This window comes from Homo sapiens, chromosome 15 (genome assembly GCF_000001405.40).
Source record: "Homo sapiens chromosome 15, GRCh38.p14 Primary Assembly".
Lineage (NCBI taxonomy): Eukaryota > Metazoa > Chordata > Mammalia > Primates > Hominidae > Homo > Homo sapiens.
The window spans coordinates 80,451,050-80,478,414 of record NC_000015.10 but is presented as its reverse complement, the minus strand read 5'-3'; the positions used below and the strand labels follow the sequence as shown (position 1 = coordinate 80,478,414).

Sequence of the window (27,365 nt, the reverse complement as noted above, 5' to 3'; positions counted from 1 at the left end):
TCACATCGCCTGTTTAAACTCTCCCAGACACATTCAGACTTCACATGGACAGAAATGTCCACCCAACTATGATGAACCAGCTGGCTACACCCTTGGCCAGAGCCTGACCTGCCTTGACCATCGCTTCCCTGGCAGCTTCCCCAGCTGGGTCTCCAGACTGGGTTTCCAAAAGCCACATCCTGTGGTCACATATAGAAGTCTGGGAAAGACAGCACTTTCCAGAGAAGGTGATTTCAGCTGTCAAACCAACATTTCCTGGTTGGTTGGTTTTCCCCTTTTACATTCCTCCCAAATATTTAACTTTATAAGGTGTGTCCCTTAGGATTTCTATATGGAGTTTGCTAATTCAGGCAGGAGAATGGGGTAGCAGAAAGAGTCTTTCTGAGCCTATTTCAGCATCGCTGTTTTACAAGAACATCAAAGCTTACTGCCAGGAGAAAAAGACACTGTCTTTACACCTTAATTCTCTATCCTCTTCCTCCTTTTTTACATCTTTGATCACCAGCACTGAGAAAATTACTAATATCCTTCCAAAACAGCTGTACACTTCTCACTTTTAGCAACATCAAACTCACTCTTATCATAAGTGTTATTATAGGTGGAATTGTGTTCCCCGCTAAAATTAGTATGTTAAAGTCTTAATCCCCAGTACCCCAGAATGTGACTGTATTTGGGAGACAGGACTTTTAAAGAGATTGTTAAGCTTAAATGAGATCATATGGGTGAGCCCTAATTTAGTGACTGGTGTCCTCATAAGAAGAGGCAGAGACACAAAAGATTCGTGCACACAGAGGAGAGACCTACACTTAGGCTGGTTATAATTCTTGTGAGAATGCAAGAAGGTGGCCATCTCCAAATCAAGGAGAAGGGCCTTAGGGGACAACAAACCTGATGATATACTGATCTTGAATGCAATGGACTAAATGCTTACGCTCTCCCCAAATTCGTACGCTGAAATTCTAATCTCCCAGATGATGATATTAGGACATGGGGCCTTTAGGAGGTGATTAGGTACTGTTATAAAACAGATCCCAGATAGATAGCTAGTCCCTTCCACCATGTGAGGACACAGCTAGAAGGCAACATCTAGAAAGTAGGCCCTTGCCAGACATCAAGGTGCCTTGATCTTGGACTTCCCAGCCTCTAGAACTCTGACTGTATTAGTCTGTTCTCCCATTGTATAAACAAATACCTGAGACTGGGTAATTCACAAAGAAAAGAGGTTTAATTGGCTCACCATTCTGCAGGCTGTACAAAAAGCATGATGCTGATATCTGCTTGGCCTCTGAGGAGGCCTCAGGAAACTTACAATCATGGCGGAAGGTGAAGGGAAGCAGGTGTCTTACATGGCAGAAGCAGGAACTCTTAAGAGAGAGAGTGGGAAGGTACTACACACAACCAGATCTTGTGAGAACTCACTCACTATCACGAGAGCAGGACCAAGAGGATGGTACTAAACCATTCAGGCGAACCCACCCCCATGATCCAATCACCTCCCATCAGGGCCTGCCCCCAACATTGGGAATTACAATTGAACATGACATTTGGGTGAGGACACAGATCTAAACCATATCAGTGAGAAATGAATTTCTGTTACATAAAAGCTATTCGGTTTATTGTATTTTGTTATAGCAGCCCAAATGGATTAGGACACTGAATGCCCAGCCTCCAGAACTATGAGAAAATACATTTCTGTTATTTAAGTAACCCATTCTGTGGTATTTTGTTATGGCATCCTAGGCTGACCACAATAAACAACACACTCACTAATTCATCAGGCTTCTGCTGAAGGCCTACTATGGGCAAAGCACTGAGTTTAGCACTGTGGGCAGACACAAAAGCAAGTGGGAATACAACAGCTCACAATATGGTCAGGGAGAATGACAACACAAATATATCTGTCATAGAGCAGAATGCAAATATTTTGGTATAATGCTTCTATAACTCTTGTTTCAACAATGCAAATTTGTTCCAATGTGATTGACATATTAAGGAACAATCTGAGCATAATGTGAATGTTGTGTTTGCTTATCTGTAAGAAAAACTAGATGAACATAGAAAGGTTGTGCCTAGCTGAACCGGGCCACACGGAAATACACAAAATTCACATACCTCAGACATCAGTCAGCTCTCTCGGCCCACGGTGTGTTATTAGCCACACTCATCCACATTTGGAGTTAAAACTCTCCGTCTGATTTCACATGACTGTCCTCCTACCATTTCGCAATAACATACAAATGACCACACCTTCTGAGACCACCTCTTAAGCAAACTTTAGGTCATTTTCAAACTCAACTGCCATATGTGTGGTAAGATGTATACATTTCTTAACCACTTAATGTTAAAGCTGTGCTACCATTTATAATAGGTTTTTATTTTTGCTTTTATCTGACAAATTATTGAGTGTTGTTCTTCTAAACCACTTTTTCTCGATAAGCCCTATAGTTTTGAATTGCATGATTGTGTATACTGCAGTGATTTTTAGAAACATGTATGAGTAGAATTGACTATATTTAAACATTTCAATAAGGAACTAGATTTCAGGTAACTAAGGCCTGGGTAATGAATGTTTATGGTCAGGATCACAGAAAATCACATGCTTATTGGATAAACTTCAAACAGGGCATATGGATCTGGCTAATATATCAACGACAACCTCTAGTGGTAATGTATACTAATTGCAGGTAAAATACAGAAAAATGTGATGTAGTAAAAATGGATTTTTAAATGTTATCGAATGAATGAAGCTATCACACAGGCCAACTCACATATATTCCCTCACCTTTAGGCAGCTTTTTATGGCCTCCAGTTTCCTGGCCTGTTTACTAAAATAATTTTTTTTTTTTTTTTTTTTTGAGACAGAGTCTCACTCTGTCACCCAGGCTGGAGTGTAGTGGCACAATCTTGGCTCACTGCAAGCTCTGCCTCCCAGGTTCATGCCATTCTCCCACCTCAGCCTCCGGAGTAGCTGGGACCACAGGCGCCCACCACCACGCCTGGCAAATTTTTTGTTTTTGTATTTTTTGTAGAGACGGGGTTTCACCATGTTAGCCAGGATGGTCTTGATCTCCTGACCTCGTGATCCACCCGCCTCAGCCTCCCAAAGTACTGGGATTACAGGCGTGAGCCACCATGCCCAGCCAAGAATGTTTTCTAGAGTCAAACAGCCTCATAAAGGGAGCTCCACTGACCTGTCATTGAGTTTTCTGAGGTGCACAGTTGCTCTCTCAGCTTCTCCACGTCATCAGGATGCACCTGTTCATACAGTGTGCTCCCAAACCACTCTGACTGGGGCTGGTTCAGAACAGGGGTGACGGAGTCAGACACATAAATCACTCGCCCTGTCTCAGCAGCCACCACAAACAGAAATCCATCAGCTGCTTCAAGGATGAGATGCTTCAGTTCCTATAAAGAAAAGATTATGATTGGCACAATACACTGACAGACCCAGGATGATTCAACTTTCTTATTGGGAAAGCAGCCTTCAATTTCCTTTATCTGCATATTTATTCTGGTACACAAATAGTTTGGGAAATGAGAACTTTGTTTCTGGAAAATAAGCTAGAAAAATGCACAAAGCTTGCACCATCCCTACGATACAGCTACTGTAAACACGGTTAGCCCATCTTCATTAGTCCTTTGTTGGGGAGAGAAAATTTCCAGCCTAGGGGGATGGGAGAGCAATGAGTGATCACCAGAAGGTACTGGGTTGCCAGAGGCGTGAACAGCTTTGCCACATATTGAAACTGTAGTCATGTCATTGGAGCAGAAGGGCCCAACACATAGTGCTTGGCACAAAAGGTGCTAGATAGAAGGAAGGGAAGGGGAAGGGGAAGGTGAGAAGGGAGAACGAAAGAGACCACGTGTCTCCCCACCCACAGCTTGCCGTACTGAAAGTACCCTCTTGTTCCTTTTCTCTTTCCATATTTCTGAGCTGAATGCTGGCACTGGCTATAAGAGTATCCCCTTACATTTGCATTTCTGTCAGATTTCCAGAACTGACAATAATCACCATCATCTCAAAAGACTCTCAGAGTAACTCTGGGAGGCAGCAGGGAATACAGCATTATCCATATCACTTTACAGTGAGAAGAGGATAGGAGCATCAACCTTCAGCTCACATTGATTCATTGGGGTCATGACTGTCATTGAAGGCAGGGAGGAAACTGGGATCAAGGAAGGGGCAGCAGGAAGCCTTGATATTATCCTCAGAAGGACGTGGATGGGGCAAAATTAACTTTGTTAAAACAAGATGTCTTTTCTTTGCAGCGCCTGAAGGCAGCTCAAGTATAGTTGCCCATACTATTCTCACATCAAGCTAAGGAGCCCTTTGCCACTGAATGAAATGGGCTTTGTGCCTGCAGGAGCCAGGCACTAAGTCTTCCCTAGACACTGTAATCCATGGCCACCCTTCCAACCACTTCAAGTACTGTTCAGGCTCCAGAGGACAAAGGTATCCTTCTAGGTCAGCAGCTAGCAAACATCTTTTGGCTGGCAATCTTTTGTTTGAATGTAATCTTATGTGAAAACCCCACTGTAAAGCACATGGACAGCCAGCAGAGTGAAGGCAAAAGGTGGAGAGTCTGGCGCCCCAAATCCCAGTAACTGAGCAGGGTACAAGGACCCAGAGACTAGGGAACATTGATATGCTGATGAGCAGAACCCAGGGAGCTTTGTAAATGTGTCTAAGCCCTTGGCTGGGGAGGAATTCTAACATCCTCTGCCTGGGAAACCAGGGCAGAAGCAGTTGGTACAAGCATTTTTTAAGGATAAGTTTATTTTGCCCATTTCTCTTGCTTTGCACTTTTGCTGTTCTGCGTCACCTAGATGCTTAATTAGTTCAGGGAATTCGGTCAGCATTTTTATTTTCAGTTTTTGGATGATCTTCCCAACAGAAAGAGCTGTTAAGAGAATTAAAAACGGAAGAGGGTGCCTGGGGAAGTACAGAATTCTTTGTCACTGGAGGAGAGGAAGTGGAGACTGAATGACTTTACTCATGAATTCACATTTTTGTCCAGTTTGCAAAGACTGTGGGGAGGTCTTATGGGATGAAGCCCTGCTCGCATCACGGACCCTCTTTTTTCCACCCTCCTCCCTGATGTGTATTCCCTGGGAGACCATCTATCACTACCAAGTTCCTGTGCCCTGATCCAGAACCAGCCTCTACACTCCAAGAAAACAGTCACGGTTAAGAGCATGTATTCTGGAGTAAAAGGAGACTATCACCTACCGCTCTCCCACTTAGCTGTGCAACTTTGGGCATGTTACTTCACGCCCTCAGCAATGTTTTTCAGTGAGCTCTTGCAAGGTTAAATGAGATGCTGTGTGTGAGGACTTAGTAAGGGCCTGGCACACAGTAGGTGCTCCATAAATGTAACCATTATCATCACCATCCAAGCAGCTGAGAGAGGAACAAAGGTAGGGCTCATCTGACCTGCATAGCTGCCTTCTCTCTTCACGCCACTTTCATAATCCTCAGTCACTTAAAGATAACGAGATTCATTTCAAACCTTGACTCTGTAGGTCTTTTGGTGAGGATTAAAAAAATATAGACAAAAAACTGATTCTAGCAGCCAGTAGTGCTCAATAATTTCTGTCTGTTACTTACCAGCTATTTACCCTTCATTATACCTCAGGCCCATGTTAAACAGTCTATGCTTGTTGCCTTCCTCACCACAACCACACGAGCTGGGAGCTATCACTGCATTTATTTTTACAGAGGTGGAAATGAGGCTTGAAGCTCCTGCCCTGACCACCACAGTTTGTGTCCTCCAAGTGGCACATATTACCACTGCTGGACCTTCCTAACATCTGCCAAGCGAGGGCTCCCATGACCACTGGGATGATTTAGAAAGGGATCAAATAGGTGAAGTGCTTGCTAAAGTGTCTGCCACAGAACAGACAGTAATAAACGTTAGTTCCTCATCCCTTATTCTTTTTAAACCTAACTTCCATGACATAAATCGAGTCTCGGCTCTAGCAGAATAAATCATTAGGTCTCCCAACAAAATCTTTTTCATTCCTGCCTGTGAGGTTCTGTACACACTCTTCCCTTTTTGTGAAATCCCTTCTGCTCCCCTCTTTCTAGGTATTTTTTGTGGCTCCTTTCTATGCCAATACTGTCTCTGTCCTGAGAAGTCCCTCTTGATAATACCAGGACACTTCCACTCTATTTCAGCTTGGCCACACGCTGTGTCTTGTTAAATCCTCCATTACTTTTAGGACCCTATACCCTACATACTTTTGCATTTCCTAACTGCATGCCCTGACAACTGTATTATTTCACCTCCCCACCCCAATGCCCCCCCACCGGCTATACACAATGAAGTGCTTTCAAATCCATCACCTCATTTATCCTGCAAAAGCTCTTGGAGACAGGAAAGCAAAAAGCTTTATGTTCATTTCACAGATGAGCACACTGAAGCTTAGAGTATTTGCCAACTTGCCCTATGACCAGCACATGGAAATACAAAGACCCTGAACACAGGCCTCTGGCTCATGTAAAGCCACTTATAAAATACGACCTCACTAGCCATTTTGTGCGTTTCTTCTTGCCAACTAGTCAAAGACTAGTGTAGGTGTTAAAAATATGGCTTTGGGGTCCTACCAGCCTGTCTTCACTGGACCCAATCTTGGCTCCTCCACTAAGCAGCAGATTAACCCTGAGCAATCTGCTGACTCTAAGCCTCAGCTTCCTCATCAATAAAACAGAGCTAAATAACAGTGGCTTCTTCACAGGGCTAGAATAAGTAGTAAATGAGATATTTCACAGAAAACTATGACTCACACCAGGCACCCAGCAAATGCCGGCCGGCTAAGTGCTCTGATCGCGGCTACTATTATCACTACTGCTGCCATCACTGTCTTTTTTCTTTAACTTTTTTCAGGGGTACACATGCAGGTTTGTTACGTACTGCCAAGGGAGTAAACTCATGTCACGAAAATTTGTTATACAAATTATTTCATCACCCAGATCCTAAGCCCAGTACCCATTAGTTATTTTTTCTGATCCTCTCCCTCCTCCCAACCTCCATCCTCTAGGAGGCTCCAATGTCTGTTGTTCCCCTCTTTGTGTCCATGTGTTCTCATCATTCAGCCCCCACTTACAAGTGGGAACATGTGGTATTTGGTTTTCTGTTCCTGCATTAGTTTGCTAAGGATAGTGGCCTCCAGCTCCATCCATGTTCCTGCAAAGGACATGATCTCATTCTTTTATATGGCTGTGTAGTATTCTATGGTGTATATGTACCACATTATCTTTATCCAATCTGTCATTGATGAACATTTATGTTGAGTCCATGTCTTTGCTATTGTGAATAGTGCTGCAATGAACATACGTAAGCATATGTCTTTATGTAGAACGATTTATATTCCCTTGGGTATAAACCCAGTAATGGGGTTGCTGGGTCAAATGGTATTTCCGTTTTTAGCTCTTTGAGGAACCTCCACACTGCTTTCTACAATGGTTGAGCTAGTTTACACTCCCACCAGCAGTGTATAAGTGTTCCCTTTTCTCTGCAACCTCACTAGCATCTGTTACTTTTTGACTTTTTAGTAATAGCCATTCTGACTGGAGTGAGATGGTATCTCATAGTGGTTTTGATTTGCACTTCTCTAATGATCAGTGATGTGGAGATTTTTTCATATACCATCACTTTCATAGGCTGATCATATCAGCACAATTCCAGCATACAGCGTTTTTACTAACTTCTTCCTGTGTCAGTGTGCTGAGCACGATGTTCAAATGCTCAATATATTTTTTTGAGTGACATCCCATTAAGGTTATGGGAAACATAAAAGCAGAAGACCCAAAGATCAGACAAACCCTCTTTTGAAGACAGCTTCTTGGAGAAAAATGGAAACAAAACATGTTGGCTTCATTCCTTCCTCAACCTTGAGCCCTGGTTCCCCACGTAGTTTATTTCGTCTTGGTGACGCTGGGATTCCCCCCGCTTTCCAATGGTGATGTGATGACCAGGGTACCTGCTCTGTGAGGAAGGAAGGCTTGTACGCGCCATCGGTGGACTTGTTCCCTGTACCCCTCATGGACTTCATGTGCGAGACGGCCATGCGGAGGATGGTGAGCTTGTCTGGCTTCCGAGCCAGTGCGCTGCATGTGGGGACCATGTCGGAGAGCTCCGTGATGTACTGAGTCATCTTGTTCCGTCTGCGCCTTTCGATTTCACTATGATTCTCTCTTTCCAGAAAGCACGAGATCAGGAGAGGGGGAAAAAAGAGAAGTATCAGATTAGGGATTACTATCTAATGGGATAAAACCATTAACACCAAATGACCAGGAACTAGGGGCTAACACCTAACAGCTGAGTGCTTTGAATGACTATTGGGCAAAATGGCCCTTCTGATGCCTCAGCAAGCTCTTACATCTATGTGTTGGAAGCACAGATGTCTATAGTCTCAATCTCTAAATACATATCAAAATCTTCTAATTACTCCCATATGCCTGAGGTATTTTTGTAAGCATAAAAAATTGAGACACGAGGGCTGGGCACGGTGGCTCACATCTGCAGTCCCAGCACTTTGGGAGGCCAAGGTGTGCAGATTACTTAAAGCCAGAAGTTTGAGACCAGCCTGACCAACATGGTAAAACCCCATCTCTACTAAAAATACAAAAATTAGCTGGGCATGGTAGCGCATGCCTGTAATCCCAGCTACTTGGGAGGCTGAAGCACAAGAATTGCTTGAACCTGGGAGATGGAGATTGCAGTAAGCTGAGATCGCACCACTGCACTCCAACCTGTGCACACATGAATCTGTACATGGATATACACACGTGCACACACACACAAATGTGGTTACTGTCTGCCTCAATATGTGGTTTACATGTTGTATCTTTACATATTTATTACATATAAATATGTAATATATAAATATAAGTATGTAATATATTATAAATAATATTTACATATTATATCTTGCAGTAAGAAGCACTATATAGTCTTACCATTCTTTGTGTCACTAAGTAGACCAATAATGCTACAAATTTACTTTAAAGTTGTGAATAAGCCTTTGTTCTATGCCCAACAGATTTTCTGCAGCATAGTAACAAAACAGGTACACCCCTGGCTTATGAAACAATAAATAGCCAATTTAAAATAAAAACGCATGGCAAAGGAATTACTGAATGCAATCTCTGTGATGTGTTATGATAAAAAACTAGCAGAAGGGATGGTAGAATGTTTCCAACCCAGGCTTTTTACCTTCAGGCTTGAAGGAGTCACAGCCAACTCAGTTCAACGACTCTAAGACAAAGCTGTTACTTGGGATAAAAGAATTATCTAAAAATAAATCCCATGTCTGCTGCAGGATTTAGGGTTTCACTGGTGTTCAAAAAATGAGAGTGACACTAAGGGCAAGAAAAAAACAACTCAGGCAGGGCTGCCTCCAGACACTGCATGTATTAATTAGCTTAACAGCCCATCCTCCCAGATTGGGGAACAGACGTGCCAGTCAGCCCTGATGACACCAAGTAGCACGTGCTGAGGGTCTCTGAACACACAGACCGAGGGGAAGTGAGACTGCAGTACAGGTCACTGCAGAGCGACCTGAGCCATCCACCATGAACCTTCCAGACCCCATGAGGGGAGGAGTGGTAGAGAAAACAAGGAATGCCCAACTCTGTCCTCAAGCAGTGGGGGGTTAACTATGAATATAAAACATACACCTTGCATAGTGGAAATGAAACGCAGAGTATGATTAAATGCTTCAAAAGGCAGGTGAAAAGCAAAAACCACAATGGAGAACGATATAGCGAAGAGGAGGAGGTGGTCCTGGGGCTGAGGGTGCTAGAAGGGGTAGGGAGGAGGAACTGGGAGAGAGCTGGGCCTAACCTGTCAGCAAGTAGAGGAGGTCTATTTTGGGGAGGGGATCAGCAGGATCAAATAAAGGCCTGGAATTGGGAAGAAACATTTGAGGGTGGTGAGGAGGCAGGCCTAGACGGAAGGGTAGAGATGGGCCCTGGAGTAGAGGGGCCGAGGAGCAAGAGAAGCTGGGAAACCTTGCTGGACAGTAAAGGGAAAGCTGTCGTGCATGGCAGGCTGATAAGAGCCGTGATGCTCTCTGCCTCTGTGGCTGGCTTCTCGGGGGAGGTGCAGGTTGCGGGAGAGGTTCAGGGTTGGGGAGGAGGAGATGGAGGCTGGGACCAGCAGGGAGATTCCTGAGGCCTGGTGCTCTCTCCCACCCACAAAGGATAACTCTGCAGCCAACCCACTGGAATGGTGGAAACACCAGCCACGGCACAAATGCCGTTGGTCCACAGAGCACAGCCACTCTGGTAGGGAAGGGCATATACTCTCCAGGAGAAACTGCTGCTGCGTAATCAGGCAGGGCTTGTTGACTCGGGGGTAGATAGAGGTAACCAGAGAAGAATGGGTTGGGGCGGGGCAATCATAATGAAAGAAAGTGATGAAAAAGGGGGATTTGGTTAGAGATTGTTGAGTTATTTAGTGCATTCAGGAACCCTTCCCTGGAGGAGATACAGGACTTCCTTTTCCTTCTCTCCATAAATTAGGTAAATTAGTGGTGGCAGCCCACCCTGAACTGGGTCTTCACCAACGTCTCCTGCATTTGACTCCTCAGCCAGGAGCTTGTCACGAGACAACCAAGGTGCAGCAAGAAAGGCCTAGAGGAGCTCTCAGAGGAGGGTGAGCCCCCGCCTCGCCAGCCTACACTTCATCAAGGCCCGATGGGGTGGACGGAACACAGAGACCGTTGGCTGAGGCTGCTGACCTTGCAAGATGCTGGGCAGGCACCCTGGCCGCTGATGGGCGTTGTAAGATCATGGGCAGTACACGCATGAGTTAGGTCCAGGGCTGCACGCCACCGCCCCGCACTTGCCCGCCAGACACCCTGGAGAACCGGCTTTCCTCCCATGCACCCACACCACCTAGAGTCTGCATTCCAGCTCTTCAGCCTGACTTCTGGGATCTCGCTCATTAGGCACCACCCACAGCCCTCTTCCCTACTCCAACCACGTGTCAGCTGCTCCCCACCCATCAGTATCACCAGGCAATAGCCATTCCTACTTATCTTCGATTCAGCACACGTGGAACTGCTCCCGTCCCTCAAAATTCCATCTGTGTCAAAGCTCTTGCAGCTGTTTCCTGGTTCTCTCCCACCTTCTCCAGTCCATGCCGACTGCCTGCTGTCATCACTTTTCCCCTTGTCACCAACCACCTTTTCCCAGCCTTTTTCTCCAGTCTCACCCTCCAGTTTAGTCCTCATGTTGTGGCCAGACTGATGTTTCTCAAAATACAAACCAGAGCCTTCGCTTAAACCCCTTCCATTGAGCCTCCAAACCCCTCAGCTGGTCACTGTGACCACTGCTTCAATGCAGGGCTGACGCACACTTGCTTCTGATACTATTATCCAAAGAGCTTGTCCCATAGTGGCACAGACCATCTTGCTTTATAAATATTCTGCAGGTGAAAAATCTTCATATGGGGAATCTTAAACAGAGATCTAAAGCAATTTCACCACAGTGCTCTGTGAACCCAATCTGTGAGATAAGGTGTATGAAGAAGATGGCCTTAGGGCAACTGCTTAAAAACTGATTGTATTTATTGCCTAGTCCAGAAAATGCTCCAAGTACTTTATATTTTATGAAATAATACTGAGTTACCAGCAGAATGTCAAAATGACTGACAGCTGCCAATTACTTAGCAACAAGATTTGATAAGTGAGTGACATACACATATGTATGTACGGTTTCATTCTGAAGCCTTCATCAAGGCAGCGGGGATGATGCCATCTTGGGAACACAGAAGGACATATCTCCAAGATCATGTTTGCTGGGGCAAGGCCATCTCTTCCCCAGAGTGAGGAGACAATTTGGGGTCTGCCTGGAGGAGCTGCAGGAGTGAGCCTGTGAACCTGGTGTCTGTGACTTGCGTGTGTACCACATGCTTGCTCGGGGCTGAGTAGCATCAATAAAGAAATTAACTCCTATGTACAGGGAAGCAGGACCAGGACTCCACAGAATTGACAGTTGGGGACACAGGTAGAGCTGTCAGTTTCAAAGACACCTCTGCTGTGCTAAGAGGACCCAGAGCTTGGCTCCAGGAGCACAGCTATGGAAATCAAGGCACAGAAAGAAGAGGTTCAACTAACTGCACACTGACTTGTGTTTCTTTTCCAACTCTGTTCCTGATGGGGACCTCCTAAGTTTAATCTGAACGGTGAGGTACCCATCTTAGTTAAAGAATACGAAAGGAGAATTTTATAAGATCTCAATAAAGAGCATCCTTAAACTGCTGACAGCCGTTGAGTCTCCTGTCTGCTATGGGAAGGGAACCTTAGACCCGGAGCAAGCAGACTGAATGAGACAGCCCCATGCTGGGAACTCCCTGATCACTGCAGACATGGTATACCTGGAGCATACTTCCAGTCTGGGAGTTACTGTGCTGGGTACTGGAGACGGGTGCTGGACAGGACAGAGAGCCCACGGAAAAGCAGGGGCAACAGAGAGTGAGCAGGTGCAAACACAATCCCTGTGTGGTTTCCTTGTACACTAAAAGGTCAGAAGAGGATGCTGAGAGTGTGCGATGGGGAGAGCTCCCTGTGAAAAAGTCCCAGGAAATACCCAGGAACCCTAGGACATGGGACACTGAAAGTCCCCACGCAGGCCTGGCTGAGAGGAGCCACGACATAAACCTAAGTGCTTCTGCAGCCTCCTCTTTGCTCATGTCAGGGTGATCAGGTGTGGGCACCTCAAGGCAGCAGGTGGGCTGATGCAGGATACTATGAGAGAGATATGACCAAGTCTAGCTCTAGCCAGGCCACCTACACTGCCATGGTCCAAATCTGAGAAGTCAGCACTTGAAATAATACGACTGGTCACTACACCTCACTGCCAGCTTCAGAGCTACATGAAGCTCTACACACGTGGAATGTCTGTAGAGCAGCCCTGCTGCAGATGGCACCAGGACCACATTTCTCCATGATGCCTCAGCTTCCATTTCTACCTCCTGAGGTCCACACCCCTCTCCAGGCCACAGCAGTCCAAACAACAGACCTGCTGAAAATAAACATAAAGCTTCTCCCCAACCTGGAGAAGCATCACCAAGCAGCTGCCACTCTCAAAGCCATCGGGCTTGGAAACAGGCCTCACTCAGGGCAGAATTTGTGCTCATTTCCCCAGATTGCACTAGAACTGGAAGACCAGACACCAGGAGTTTTTTCCTTTTCAGAATTCACCCAGCACACAGTGATAACCTCTGCTCTTGGACAATTCACCAAACTGTGCATGGCTCAAGTTACTGAACAAACAAGGCTTTCTGCCTGCAATTCCAGTAAAGGGCTTCAGCACTTCTCAAGCAAAGGAAGCATCAATCCCCGTCTTCCCCTACTAGGGATTTCTCTGTGAGATTTGACCAGTTAGGGTAGAGTCAGAACTGTAGGAAGAGACCCTTTGCATAGGCTCATACCACCTGGCCTTCAGAGGTAGCCTGGGGGAGTCATCAGACCAAGAGTGGCTGCGTGGGGGTCTACACATGAGTCCTGGTCAGCTGTCAGGAGCCTCTGGTGCAGTATTAGGCACAGACTGGCTCTGCCCCACCTCGGTGACACTCGGGAAGGAAGACTGTACCTTTCCAGGAACATCCTTCATGGCCAGTCGCTCCCAGGCATGCTGCAGGGCATTGTAAGAGCCATGAAGGCCAGAAGAAAGCCATTTCAGGAGCCCCATGGAGGCTGGTCAGATACCTGCAGAGAGGGCCCACTGAGGCATATTCAGTAAGGCAGTTTTCCCAGCTTCTGAGGCTGCTCCAGGAAGGGCAGAGGGTTGCTCTCTCCTTGAGAAGGAGGTAGGCATCCTGCTCCCCAGAAGCCATCCAAGGCCCAGGTTTCTGCAAGGCAACTACAAGATACCTGTGTGTCCAGGCTGAATGCAAGACTCACCCAAAACACAGGGAGGAGTCTGAGAAGCCCAGATCCTCCCAAGCAGGGACCCAGGCCCGGCACCTCTGACAATCCCTGTTCCCAGTGAGACACACATCTTGCATGTTTCTATAGCAACTTACAGCTTCCCAAGCACTCTCTCAGCACTGACTGCAATCGATCCTTGCAACCCCCCACCCCCAGCCCCCAATCGGGATGTATCTCCTTTCCCCAGAGGAGGAAGCTGAGGCTCCAAGGGTCACACTGACTTACCAGGACTGGGAACAGGCCTGCCAGTCACCTGCTGCCTCTCTCTCACCACCTCTCCCCAACAGAGCACTAACTGGTCCTAGTTCAGAGCTAGAATGCCCGGAGAGACTAGGGAGCAAAGATATTTAAGGCTTTATGGGGGAAGAATATGCCTAGCAGCTTCCAAAGAGACACAGCTCAGGACTGCTTATGATCCCAGAAGTGATTTCCTCCTCTCTCTCCAAAAAACTCTAGTGTTATCCAGGCACTATCATTTCAAATCAGGGTTAATCTCTCCAGCAGAAAAACTGAAGCGGGTAGCATAGCTAAACATGGTAAGAAACACATCAAGGTGCAGGTCCATCATGTGAGAGCCAAACATCTTGTATGAAGAAATCACACTGGCTGGGCACAGTGGCTCACACCTATAATCCCAGCACTTTGGGAGGCCAAGGCAGGCGGATCACCTGAGGTTGGCCAGCCTGGCCAACATGGTGAAACCCTGTCTCTACAAAAAATACAAAAAATTAGCCGGGCGCGGTGGTGCACACCTGTAATCCCAGCTACTCCGGAGGCTGAGGCAGGAGAATTGCTTGAACCCAGGAGGCAGACATTGCAGTGAACCGAGACCGCGCCATTGCACTCCAGCTTGGGCAACAAGAGCAAAACTCCGTCTCAAAAAAAAAAAAAAAAAAAAGGAAATCACCCATCCATATCAGCATGGTGTTAGAAAGCCACCCCTCCTACAAAATCTTTCATTCCAGTGTGTGCTAACCCTAACCCTAACCCTAACCCTAACCCACTGAAGCAACTTTAGTTGCTCATAAGCAACACTGTACCAAATTCTACCCAGCTTATCTGCAACACTTGTCTGGTTCATATGAACTGAGACTGTAGAGGCAGGGAGGAGGCATGGGAAGTTTGGAAGGGCTCCTCTTGGCGTTTGCTCTGCAACCTCTGAAAGGCTCGGCTGAATCTCTTCCTGCCTTACAAGGACCTCACGTACCCATCCAGTGTGTCCCACACATGGTAACTGATAAGATGAGGCCAGATAAAAAAAGGGGCACTCCTTGCTGCTGCCTGGTCATCCTCTCTGCCTTGGAAATACTTTAGGCGTCTTCTCACTTGGAAACAGAGTAACCCACTCTCTAGGCTAAGACGCTCAGACTAAGAATTCTGGAAACCCACAATCTTCTTTTCTTTCTGCCGGGAAAGACCTCTGCAGGACACGTCTACCTTGCATATTTTCCTTATCAACAGAGTTTTGGTCATGATACCTACTCACAAAGCAGGAATGATTAAAACTAAAACATCACCACAACCTATAAAGCCAGGGGGGAAAATGCCTACAAGCTTAAATACCACACAAAACCAAAAGGGAAGTACCAAAATGGACGTGATGAGAAACAAAAGGTCAATTCTGCAGAAGCTTTCCTACCGTGAATATCTTTACTTTTAGATAACTTTAGAGGTTCACTGGCTAACTCTACAAAATATAAGGCACAATGTTGGACTGGTGCAACTGGGTGCTACAATCTCACCAAAGAGCAGCCAATGGGGTCACTTGCAGCCATTTCTAAAAAGGTTAAAGAGAGGCCAGGAAGCCCCTTGATAAGGGATTTTGAGTCCGAGCTCTTAGGAGGCTCCAAGCACTGGAGCTGAATCCACAGCAACAGATACGAGAACTCCTTGGAAGGCCTTTAGGGTCTTTTGAGAAAGGGTGTGGAATGAGTCTGAAGGGAGCAAAAATATACAGATAATACACAGTGGCAAGAATTAAAGTTTGAGGACTGCATGCTTGTTTGTCCCCAAGTTGTAAATGTAACAAAAAGACAGTTACATTAGGAATGTTTCCTCTCTTTTGTTTTAATGACACATTACGCATACATTCACATACGTAAGGCACACGATGAGCACGGTGTATAATTTTGACTCTGTTGATGACAGCTCTGGGATGTTAGTAATGCCCCTTATGAAACAATATTTAAGATGCCTCCATGTACTGGTGGCAGCTGACCCCAGCTGCCGGTATGAGAAGGTGTCCTGGAACTCCCTAGAAAATGTATCAATCTAAGGGTCCATTAAAGTAGGAAGATGCCCCTGAACCACTCAGAGTGATGAAAAGGCTTTGGCCCTCTGCTTGAGTGTGAGGTTGCAGGACGTGCTGGGCAGGACTGGCATCTGCCTCCCAGGCACACCAGGGCCATCCACACAGGCACAGGAACCAGGGAGGGACTGGTGCCGACCTCACTATAGGAGGGTGCGGCACCACTACCAGCTGCCCGGGAGGATCATCTTTGGAGAAACACTTGCTGGAGTGTAATCGGCATTTTTCCAAAGACACAGGGTTTATCACCACCTGCTGTTAGGATCAGTGACTTGATAACTGGAATTCCAAGAGTGAGGTCAAGCCAAGCATTCCCAGTGGAGGCTGCTTTCTTGGCTGAGCCCAGGAAGAAAGGCTGGCTCTGCGACTTCACTCCTTTTTGCCTCCTTGGCAGAAAGGCCTCCTCCTCTGAAACTCGTGCCATCCGTCTCTGCCACCTTCTAGGCTCTGCATCATCATCACCACTGCCCACCCACACAGCCAGCCAGCCCCTGCCCCCAGACCACCCCCAAGACAGCCTCTGCAGGGGGTGATGCACACCCACCCATCTGTCTCCCCATGCCTCTGCTCCCAGGACTGACCTCGGCCTCCTCTACTGGACCTCGGCCAGCCTCTCCCATGGTGGTGGCTTCTCACTATTTGACCACAACTTCCTACTTTTCCAGCCCTCTCAAACTCCCACAAAATCAGAACTATTCTTTGACCGCATTGCTACTTCCCGTCCCCGGCCTCCTCCATTCTCTTCTCACTCCTCCGGCCTGCCGGCCTCCCTTCACTCCCTCTGCCATTGGACCCACAGCTTGGCCTCTTCAACCACCCTCTCATTGAGACCTTAACCACCTCGACTCCTGTCCTTCCATGGCACCTGCCCTAATCCTCAACCCTGAGTCTGAGAAAAGCCTCCATTCCCTGTATCCACACCGTTGGGTATTGCTGGAGGGAAATTGCACTTATACACATTGATGCCACCTCACATTGGTGGTCCACAATCTCAAATGGGGTCTAAAGTTTTTACATCTCTGTCTTCGGTTAGCCTCCTTCCTGTGAATTCAACCCAGGGCCACCCTAAACTTCGCTCTCAGGCACAATAGCAAACCTCTTCCCACCTGCGGCACACAGCCCCATTTCCTACCTAATCAAGACAATGGAAGCCACGAGAATTAATCCCTCCACTTCTGATGCACCCACAGCCTCGCACTTGGCCTCACCTGCAGCTCCTTCCTTCTGCCTTGGAGCATGAGTACTCCCTTCTGTGGGGCAGAGCTCTCTCCTCCTCCTCTGGACCCATCTCTCCCCAGCGTCACTCCTGAGTCTTCCAAATCTCTGGCTATCCCCATTACTTCTCCTCCTCACATGGATGTACTCATCCTTAAAAAGTACCCCTCCCGGAGCCCCTTCCTTTTTGATCTACATCCAAACTGCTCAAAGAGTTGTTCTCACGCATCTTCATGTCTTCATCTCCCCATCAGTCCTCAGCCCACTGCAGTCTGGCTTCTGTCCCCCGGGTCCCCGTGACTTTGTGTGGGGGGAAGGAAACTTCGAATGTAGGCAGAGCCATGTTCTGCATATCACAGCTCCCCGAATGGCATGAATCCCATGTGTGAGAAAGAGCTGAGGCCTTGGGATGTGGTGGAGCGGGCCTGAGAACATTTATGGCACTGGCAGGCGGGATCCTGGAATGCCTATGCACGTATGGGCGTGTGCATGTGCGTGCTTGTGTGTGCACCTGAGGTCACACAGCAGTGGCAGCTTCACATCTACTACTTTGTTGCATCTAAGGCCTGCTGTGATGGGCCTGGCTGTGCTAAAGTAGGAACCATATCAAATTCCTATAATTGAGCTGCTTTGTGACTGTGACCACACTTCCCAAATCAAAAATTGAGACATGAGGTCTCATGATAGGCAGGACATTTAAACTGGGAAGCCCCCTTGCAAAAAGCTGGAAAAGCTGATGGCACACACACAGGAGACAGAAACCATGGCACAGCACCCTGCCTAGATTCTGAGTCAGCAAACTACGGTGGGTGCTGGCTCACAAGGCAGCCTCTATCTCTTCCAGGGCCTCACATGAAGGGGCTTCTGTTGCCTGATTGTAAGAAGAGAAAAAGCCAACAGGAGAGGCACTGGGGTGTTCCATGCCAATTGGAAGCAGATTCTCCACTCCTCCCCTGGACAGCAGCCACAGTCACTGCAAAGTGGAGGGATGAGGGTGGACTCAGTCGTCTCTCCCAGTGCTGAGAAGCTCAGATGCAACCATGGGCCCATTCACTGAGGGCCCAGCAGCTAAGCCTAGGTGACCTCTGGGCCTCTGCGGTCCTACAAACTCATTCCTATTAGTAACAGCATATGCTGGAAACACATCCTATCTTCCTTATTTTTCATGGGGGAAATGATATGGTTCACAGATGCCTGGGTTTGAACCTTGACTGTATAAAAACGGACTCACAGACACGGTCATGAGATAGTTACCCAGAGTGTAGAGTTTCTGTTTCTTAATGATCGGGCCTAATACAATGAGCTCTTTGTACCCCTGCACTATTATTTCATCACTGACACTGATCTTTTCAATGTCAAACAAACGTCACTCCTCATCTCTCTTCCTCTTTATGTTTTGAGGCCCCAGGAATCATCATTTCCTAAGGTTAGCATGCTATGGAATGTTATCTCAAGGGGAATTTTGACACGGAGGAACCAAAGTCATTGTTCCTTCATAGAGGGAGGCTGTGTACAGCGAGAGCAAACTGGGGCAGGGAGATATGTGCCCTTGTTTCCATTTCAGCAAGAAAGCACACCCTGCTATTAAAGTGTATCCCAAGAAATGGGTGGATGTCCAAGCTGCCATTCTGTCTGCACCGAGGGAAAACAATACATGCTTTTGTTATTGAAACTCATGTCCTGTTTTGATTCGAAACTCCAAGGTCATTAGTGACCAAAATGTTCTCCATCTCCTCTCTACTGTTTCAACCAAAGCAGAAGCTGAAAGACGGAAGGAAAAGATTTTGGGGACGAAAGTGTATGGCATGATGCGAGTTTACTATGGACTTGGAGACTCTGGGAATCCCTGGGAAGTAAGGAGATGCATGTCCCTGTTGGACTGGTGGAAAAGTGTGTGGAACTCACAATCGCAATGCAGTTTGTAAAAGGAATCATCACCAAAAATGGCTACCATGAGGGGAGAAAACTAGGGTAACTCAGGGGGCCCAGAACTCAATATGCATGTGGTTCCTCCAAAAACAACTGAGGCCATCAGTCCAAACTATGGAGCATGGATACAGAAGAAAAGCAACCGTCACCCATGGCAAGTTTTCAAGTCCATCAATGACCAAGAATTAGGAAGGCTTGGAGGCTTGGCTAGTGGAGAGGAATGTCAAGGCAGGCCCTTCCTTAGGTAAGTGGGTACAGATGTGAATTTTGCTAAGAATGATGGAATGATTTGTGCCTTCCTGTCAACACTGCCAAACTTCCTACCATATCTTAAACAAAATGGAAAAAAAAAAAAGACACAGTCATGGGGTTGGGCCTGCCTTATCCTTCACGTATGCAATGTGTATAACCCATGGACATTCATGATCCAGCAAACTTTCCATGAGGTGGTCTGCACTCAGGACGGCCCCGCAGAGCCCAGATAAAGATGCTGTCACGTGGCCAGGGGGCAATACAGTTCTTAGGAGCTGAAAACCCAGTTTTCTATCCTGCATCCAGAACACAGCTGCCTGGTTTCTCATATCTCTTCTTATTTTCCATGGTAGCAATAAAAGACTTATCTTGACAGTTTTTTCTAAACTTGAACTCTAGGGCTTTTCAGGAAGAATGAATTCCTCTGTTTGCTTTATAAGCAATGAATATTAATTTTAATAGATTCCTTTTTAAAAGACATAGGAATTTTTAAAAATACTTTTTAAAAAGCCCTATTGTCTTTTTAAAATGAATCCTTAAAATTGACATTAATTTCTTATAAAGCAAACAGAGTTAATAACTTATTACTTACCTTTTGATCATCTCTGCTGGGATGTGGCAGGGTCGCTAATAGCTAGCTGCCACTGGGCCAAATACTGCCACAGAGTGAGGGACCAGTCAAACTGCAGGCAATGGCTTTTGCAATGACAAAAGACGTTACATTCTTGTATCTTTCTAAGGTGAATGCTGGCTATTGCCTTCTTTAAGTCTAAGGAAAATAAAATAAACTTACCTTGAAAATTTACTGGGGCCTTCACCATCTTCATCATCGAAGTCCATTCTGAAAAGTCAAGATCACAAGTGAGCACTGATTATTAGGAGAACATTTTAACTGGTAACAGGAGCTGCTGGAACAAAAGGAGCTTTATTCACTAGGACTGCTATCCATTGATCCCAACCTTTGGCAGTGCTACAAGCAATATCTCTACACAGTCATCAAACGGGTTCAAGACAAGAAGAGGCAAAATGAAAGGTCTTCAGTCTAAGCACCACTAATTCTATGGCTGGGAATATTTAAGTATCAACTAGTCCCCTCCAGAACTCTATATGCCATTCCCTTCTTAGAACTCTTAGCAGACAATGGATTGCTCTGGCTATGATGGAAAGGTGTCTCTTCCTTTTCTCTCACCATCTTTGGGAATACCTGCACCCCTCTGCATCACCTATTCCACATTAAGACTTTTTTCTTAGTTTATCTTGTGGTATATTAAGAGCCTAAAAAGGCTCACGGGATTTTGAAAACAGAAGTTTTCAGGGTGAAGGGATCACAAGGGAAAGAGAAATACTACCGGTTGTACTGCTTAAAAATGTGGCTGGTCTTGATGAGTCAAAGTGAAAAGGACATTTAAGACTTTGCCCTATTAAATCCAGGACCACAAACATGGCTGTTGAGGGGAAAATGGCTGTTTGGGGCTCAAGCTACTCAAATCAGCTGTGCTTGTGGAAACTCACCAAGTAGTTATTCAGATTCACCCTTTACTGGGCCTCTCAGTGTAAACATAAGACAAAAAGACTTGATAGATATTTGTTGAACTAATACCTCAAACTCTTCTCAAAAAATCATGTCTCTGTAATGGTAATTCACACAATTCCTAAACATGTTAGGGCAGAGGGGGTACTTAATTGGTGTCAAGTGTACCCAGAGTCCTTGGGGAAACAAAATGAAAAATGATACAGATGTCTGAGCTTTCCTGGACATCCACGTGAGTGGAGCTCCTTGGAGAGAATGTCTCAGAGTCCCTGCATTCCCCATCTTGTTCTTTGTAGTCCTGGTGGACTGGATGAGGCACAGTTCCCATGGAATTCAAGGAGAAGGAAGGCCAGCCTGCCTGGCAGCCTGGCTTGAGAAACTCCTTGCCTGAACAGCTCAGTATCAGAATGGAGTGTGTATTAAATGACCACTGCTACAGATTCTAGAGCTGCTGGCCTCCCAGTAAGGGTGACCCATACCCTCAGGCTCTAAGGGCAGGGCTTCAGTGGCTAATGAGTGACTTGGAGAAGGCACAGGACACCCAGGTTACCAGGAAATGGCAGATTACACAGGGCGAGCCATCCTTGCATGGGCACACCCAAGAAGCTCCCAACAAGACAAATCCTAGTCTCTAGGGGTTTAGGTGCAAACTGAGGGACCTAGGGACTGGAATTAGGTAAGGCAAAGAAGTATTTTCTTCTTAAAATTAGTATCTTTTGTTTTTGTTTTGTTTTATGTACTGCGTAGCCAAAGTCCTAATCTTGGCCTTATTTTGTTTGGAATGACCTGACGGGATCCCCTGCTAATTTGGAATCTCTGGTTCTCGGACACAAGGGTTATACTAACAGTATAAGAACAAAAGGAGTTACATAACTGGAAAAGATGACAGTAATGATAACAGAAATACCTACGCACAAAAAGAAGAGGAGATGGGGTAGAACAGTGATAAGAAAAAAAAAAAGTACAGTTAAAGGGCCTTACAGACACCACTAAGAGAGACAGACACACACCTCTGCAAGGTAGTTTGGGAAACCAGGCACCGGGCAGCAGCTTTAGAGTTGCCGATGTTGTGGACAAGTGGGAGCTGAATGCAAGACTTTCTAAACGAATCAAAGCTATCAATATTCTGCATAATTACTAAGCCATCACCCCACCTTTCTCGGAAAATTACATCGCGAAGGTAAGCACCAAAAATGCTGTAACCAAATTCACCCGGTGTTCTGCAGAGCCGCAGAACCACGCTGCCACCTAGTGTTCACCATGGGGAAGAGCGATTTTGCCGTCCACATGAAGGTTATTTAACACCCCGTGCGTGCTGTCAAAAACATTTCAGCGTTAAGAAAAAGAAATAGCAGTTTCAACATTCCAAAGAACTCATGCAAGCATTTAACAAAACCACAAGTGGGTGTGAGACATACAGTTATCTTTAAAATTCCTTTTAGCTCAAGTTGGTATGAGTGTGATTGTCAGTACTCCTGCAAAATGCAATTTATAAGCCAGCCCTCTGTCCTCAGCCTTCATGATCTTCGGGGTGTTTAGGGTGACCAACCATCCTGATTTTCTCAGTATAGGAGTGGAGATACCTGGGATCTAGGACTTCAGTGCTAAAACTGGAAAAGTCCTGGACACACCAGGATGGTTGGTCACTTTTGTTTTTGCAAAGAGTTCTGTTCTTTACCCAGCCCTTTGTGGGACCAGACAGATAAGGAAGTGAGCCCCATGGTAAATAATACCACGCTGGCCAGGTCAGCTGTGGCTCAATCAAGCAGAGGGTATGAGAAAGAGATGGCCTTGCTCCAGAGCCAGAGTCTTCTGAAGTCCGCCGGGAACTTGGGAACCAGCATTTGTCTGGGAAAATTAGGGACCCAGATCCTGTGCCTCACACCTGTGCATGTGTACAGCCATCAGCTCTAGGAATTCGGAGGCGAACCAGGAGGTAAATCAGGACACAAATGTTTAAATACTCAGGATGACTCAATCCACCCGAAAACAGTCTCACTGGCTCATCAGCAACATGGAAAACAATGCAACCCTGGAGGACACAAAGGATCTTTTAGAGCCACACCTGCCAAGATGCTGCTGCTTTGGACTGCTATCACCATCTTGGATTCTCTACTTTACATAGGACTACCATAAGCTGTGCCTATTTCTTTTCTATAAGTCTAAGTAAATCATCCTTTGTTTTATATCTTGTATGTGTCTCTATTACACAGCAGCATCTGGATAATAAAGGAGAGAAATCAAAATATGACTTTTAAGTCCTATTGTACTCACTTTAATTCAACACAGTGAATGGATGATAGAAGAGTCTTCAAAAAGGGGGCTGAAAATGCATTTTACTGTACTTTTCCGTCGATGAGCCTGAATGCCTGCCTCGACAGAAAGCCATGATAAGCATTTCTGAACTTGCAGTTAGTTGTGAGTGAAGTGAAGCTCCCTGACGGTGACTGTAATCATAATAATGCTTCATCAAATACGAGCCTCTAAACAGAAGTCACTTATGCTCTAGTGAGATAAAAGGGCTGGTCCCACAGTGACAGTAAAGGAGTGATCCTGGGCCAACCCAAAGCTTCTGCAACAAGTGAAGTGTCAAGGGCTGCTGGAAAATGCTCCTCCTTCAGAGCCTGGACTGGCCAGCCCAGACTGCAGCAATGCTAGCACATAAAAGTTCACCAAGAGAAACAGCTGCTTACATAAATATACCTGCAATTTGACCACATTCCAGCAGCTCCCAGGGTTACCTTAGAGGGAGATGGCTACAAGTAACTTGAAAATAGTCCATTGGCTATAAGTAACTTGAAAATAGTTTTTCCTCAGTGATGCTATTTTAGAAGCCCAGCATCGGACTCCAAGTGGAAAGGGACTGACACATCCCTGCCCTCAGCCTCCACCCTCCAACCCATCAAAAGCTGGCTTTGAGATGGGCACAAACCCTAACTAGCCACTGCTGCTTCCCCCAACTGAATTTGCCCCAGTGAAGCCCCCCACCCCTCACCACCCTGTCACTGAGATCAGGGAGGTTACTACAAACATGCATTCCAGGTGACTTGCTTCAGCTCATTTCTCCCACGCATGTGGAATCACTTTTGAAAGAATCTGGGACTTTGGAACCTCCACCTTGAGTCCCAAATGCTGGGAGAGCAGGCAGCTCGCTAAGACACTTACTGATGAAGGCTGTCAGGGAAATGGGAAGAAAGTTAAACCATGAAGATCCACAGTGCTAGGCCCGGCGGGAGGCCTGGAGGATCCCAACTGCAAGACATTGGTTCTAATTGGCTTTGGAACACTAGGGTGGGAAGGGGGGTTATCCTGGAAATTTGGGATACTTCCCTCCATCAGAATAATCAGGTCAGAGTGGGAAGACCTAGGCAAGGAATGGGGGTGTGGGAAGGTCCTTGCCAATGCCACTACCCCCTTCCACCACCCCCATTCCTCCTCTCTCTTCTTTCCCCTCTCTCTCTGAGTCTCTCCACCATGTCCCACATTCTCAGATGGAAAAGGGAGGTGGAAGAACACCATGCCATCAGTAGGGAGGGCAGTGGGAAATGCGTGCCATGGCACAGGAGCAGGGGCCTGCCATGGGGTTACCTGCATTTCGATGAGAGTGAGTGACTTCCATCAGGGTCTCCTTTGTACTTAGTTAAGTGTTTAGGCTGTGGTTGAAGGAGCTATTATCATGAGCTTCTAGAACAGCGGAGGCCTCAGTCATAGAATTTCAGCAAAACATGTAAAAACGTCAGATGCAAGAATTACTATGGAAACGGCCCTGTAAAAATGGAGGTTTCTTTGCTTAGACACAGGATACATCTCTAAGCCATTGAGGCTTGGCAAGTGGAATCATGGTTTGTGTGCCCCCTCCCTCCGGCAGGGAAAAGGAAGTAGGAGTGAGGATGGTGGAGGACAAGCACCCTAGAGAGGTCAAGCCCATTGATTTGCCTTCCACAGGTCCTGCCCTTGCCCCTGGGTGATTTGTCAGCAATTGCTGCTCATCCTCCTTCCTCTCTCATTGCTTTTCTTGATGTTTCATTCCCTTGGCTTTAAGTGGAACTCCATGCTAGGCTCTGTCTCTGCCTGCTCAGGATCCACATCTGCCTCCAGTGCCACGCTGTGTGTGTGACCCGGGAAGGAAAGCACAGTGGTGCAGGACTTCTTCAGAAATGGGACTGAAGCTAGATGCAGTGGCTCATGCCTGTCGTCCCAACACTTTGGGAGGCCAAGGTGTGAGGATTGCTTGAGGCCAGGAGTTCAAGACCACCCTGGGCCACAGAGCGAGACCCTGTCTCTAAAAATAAAATAAAAAGAAATGGGACTGGGTCCCCAGTCAAATCATCAGCTCGGGGAGCAACCACAAATCAGGGTGTGGACACCAGGCTGGGGTCAGAAACATGGAGGCCGAGGAGGGAAGCAGCCTCGGCTCACCGCAGCCCAGGCCCTACGGGAGGGGAAGAGGAAACTCCTGGCAGAGGCTCAGAGGCGACTTCCCAGCACAGAGACGGTTTCTGGTCCTGTAAGTACTAGGCTGGGCCTGAGCATCTCTGCCTGGACTTGGTCCTGACTCAGCCCACCTCCCTCCTCACAGAGCCCTGTGCTGGCCTCTTCTGGAAAAGGACTTGGGCAAGCAATGGGGCTCTGTCCTCAGGGAATGCGAGTTAGAGTGCACATAGACATTTAAAATAATTTTAAAAGGCCTGGAATTGTAAAAAAAATCAATTAAGTTGACACCTCTTGTCTTCTTTTAGCAACTGCTGAGTTTAGCACCTAGTTAGCAAGAATGGCTGGTTGAAATCGGATGGCTGGGTTTGCAGGAAGCCCCAGCGGTGAGCCACATCATTTATTACAGAGTTGATCTGTGGAGCTTTGCCCCAGGCACCAACACTGCTCATTATAGCTCTGCTGGTTCTGCTGTAAAGATGGTGGCAGCTGCAGAGAGAGAAGTGGCTGTATCAGCACCCAGCGAGTGCAAGTGAGCGTGCTGAATACAGGGAAAGCTGGCATAACCACTGAGCTCTGCTGCTGGGCTTTTTAACCCTCTCCCTCATCATAAAAATCTCAGGCCCTCCTTTAGAGACTATACAACACACATAACAGTCTTTTTTCCAACCTAAAATTACAAGGCTGAATATGCTTTTGCATTCTAGCCACACTCCATCCCAGATCCTGATACTTCCCATTGCCTCCACTTATGCCCCCTTTAAGAATCATATTGGACCACCTAAAAACGGGCACACCCTGCAGGCCTTGGGCTGTGAGAAGTGGGTTCTGCTGTAACCAGACAGTTGCATTCCCAAGGAGCTGTGTGTTATCAGAAATTGCTTTAAAAGTACAAATTGATTCAACTTCATGAGAAACCTTGTTTATCAAATAGTGCATCGAAAATAAAATAGATTCAACAGGAGAAAGGGGCTAGGTGATATCTTGAGTCTGAAAATGTCCATCATGTTTTTCCTGCAGGATTTTGGTTGGTTGGATGGTTGGGGGGTAGTTGGTTGGTTGGTTGATTGGTTGGTTGGTTGGTTGGTTGATTGGTTGGTTAGTTGGTTGATTGGTTGGTTGGTTGGATGGTTGGTGGGTAGTTGGTTGGTTGGTTGGTTGGTTAGTTGGTTGGTTGGTTGGTTTTTCAGGTCTGTGTACAGCCACAAACATTATGGATCATGAATAGGTGCAGTTTTGGTTCCATCTGCTCAAGAGTGATGACATTTCTGGCCCTATCAGAACAAGTACACTTGGAACAATAGTACTTAGTATTATTACCACCTTCACCAGCAGAGCAGCAGACAATGCCAACTGTCTGGTCTTCAAGCACTGAGATTTAGCCAATTATTTTGAAAGGAATTCCTGCACACCATCTCTGAAGGAGGAAAGAATGGACAGCACCAGGGTGGAATCTTTGCAGCCCACAGGGGCTGGAGCTCAGCGCAGCAGTGCTGCCAAATCTGGCTTGGAGGCTCAGGCAGGATAACGGGTGAGCCCTCTCCCTTCAGATGGCCTGAGCCAGGCCCAGCAGGATCACAAAGCACATTCTCACCACAAGGACAAGCAAACAGAAGTCCCCAGCTGGGTGCCGAGGCCCAAAACACTTAGAAGCAAATCATGTGCATATTTAGGAATCTTGTAAAAGTTAAACAGGATGCAAACTGCTGAGCTTTTATTCTACAGGAAGGGGAGAAACAATATTTTCCTAACAGGTCA

The 27,365-nt window shown here is 46.5% G+C and overlaps 1 protein-coding gene across 1 annotated transcript in view; it reads right to left on the bottom strand.

The window, feature by feature from the left end:
• The window catches only part of ARNT2 (aryl hydrocarbon receptor nuclear translocator 2), a 193,552-nt gene that overhangs the window by 119,519 nt on the left and 46,668 nt on the right, over positions 1-27,365 (bottom strand). Inside the window, exons 3-5 of the mRNA NM_014862.4 lie at positions 20,439-20,486; positions 7,984-8,197; positions 3,192-3,405 (exon numbers count right to left, since the gene is read on the bottom strand). Coding sequence (NP_055677.3) covers positions 3,192-3,405; positions 7,984-8,197; positions 20,439-20,486 — 476 coding nt within the window. The remainder of the gene's footprint in view (positions 1-3,191; positions 3,406-7,983; positions 8,198-20,438; positions 20,487-27,365) is intronic.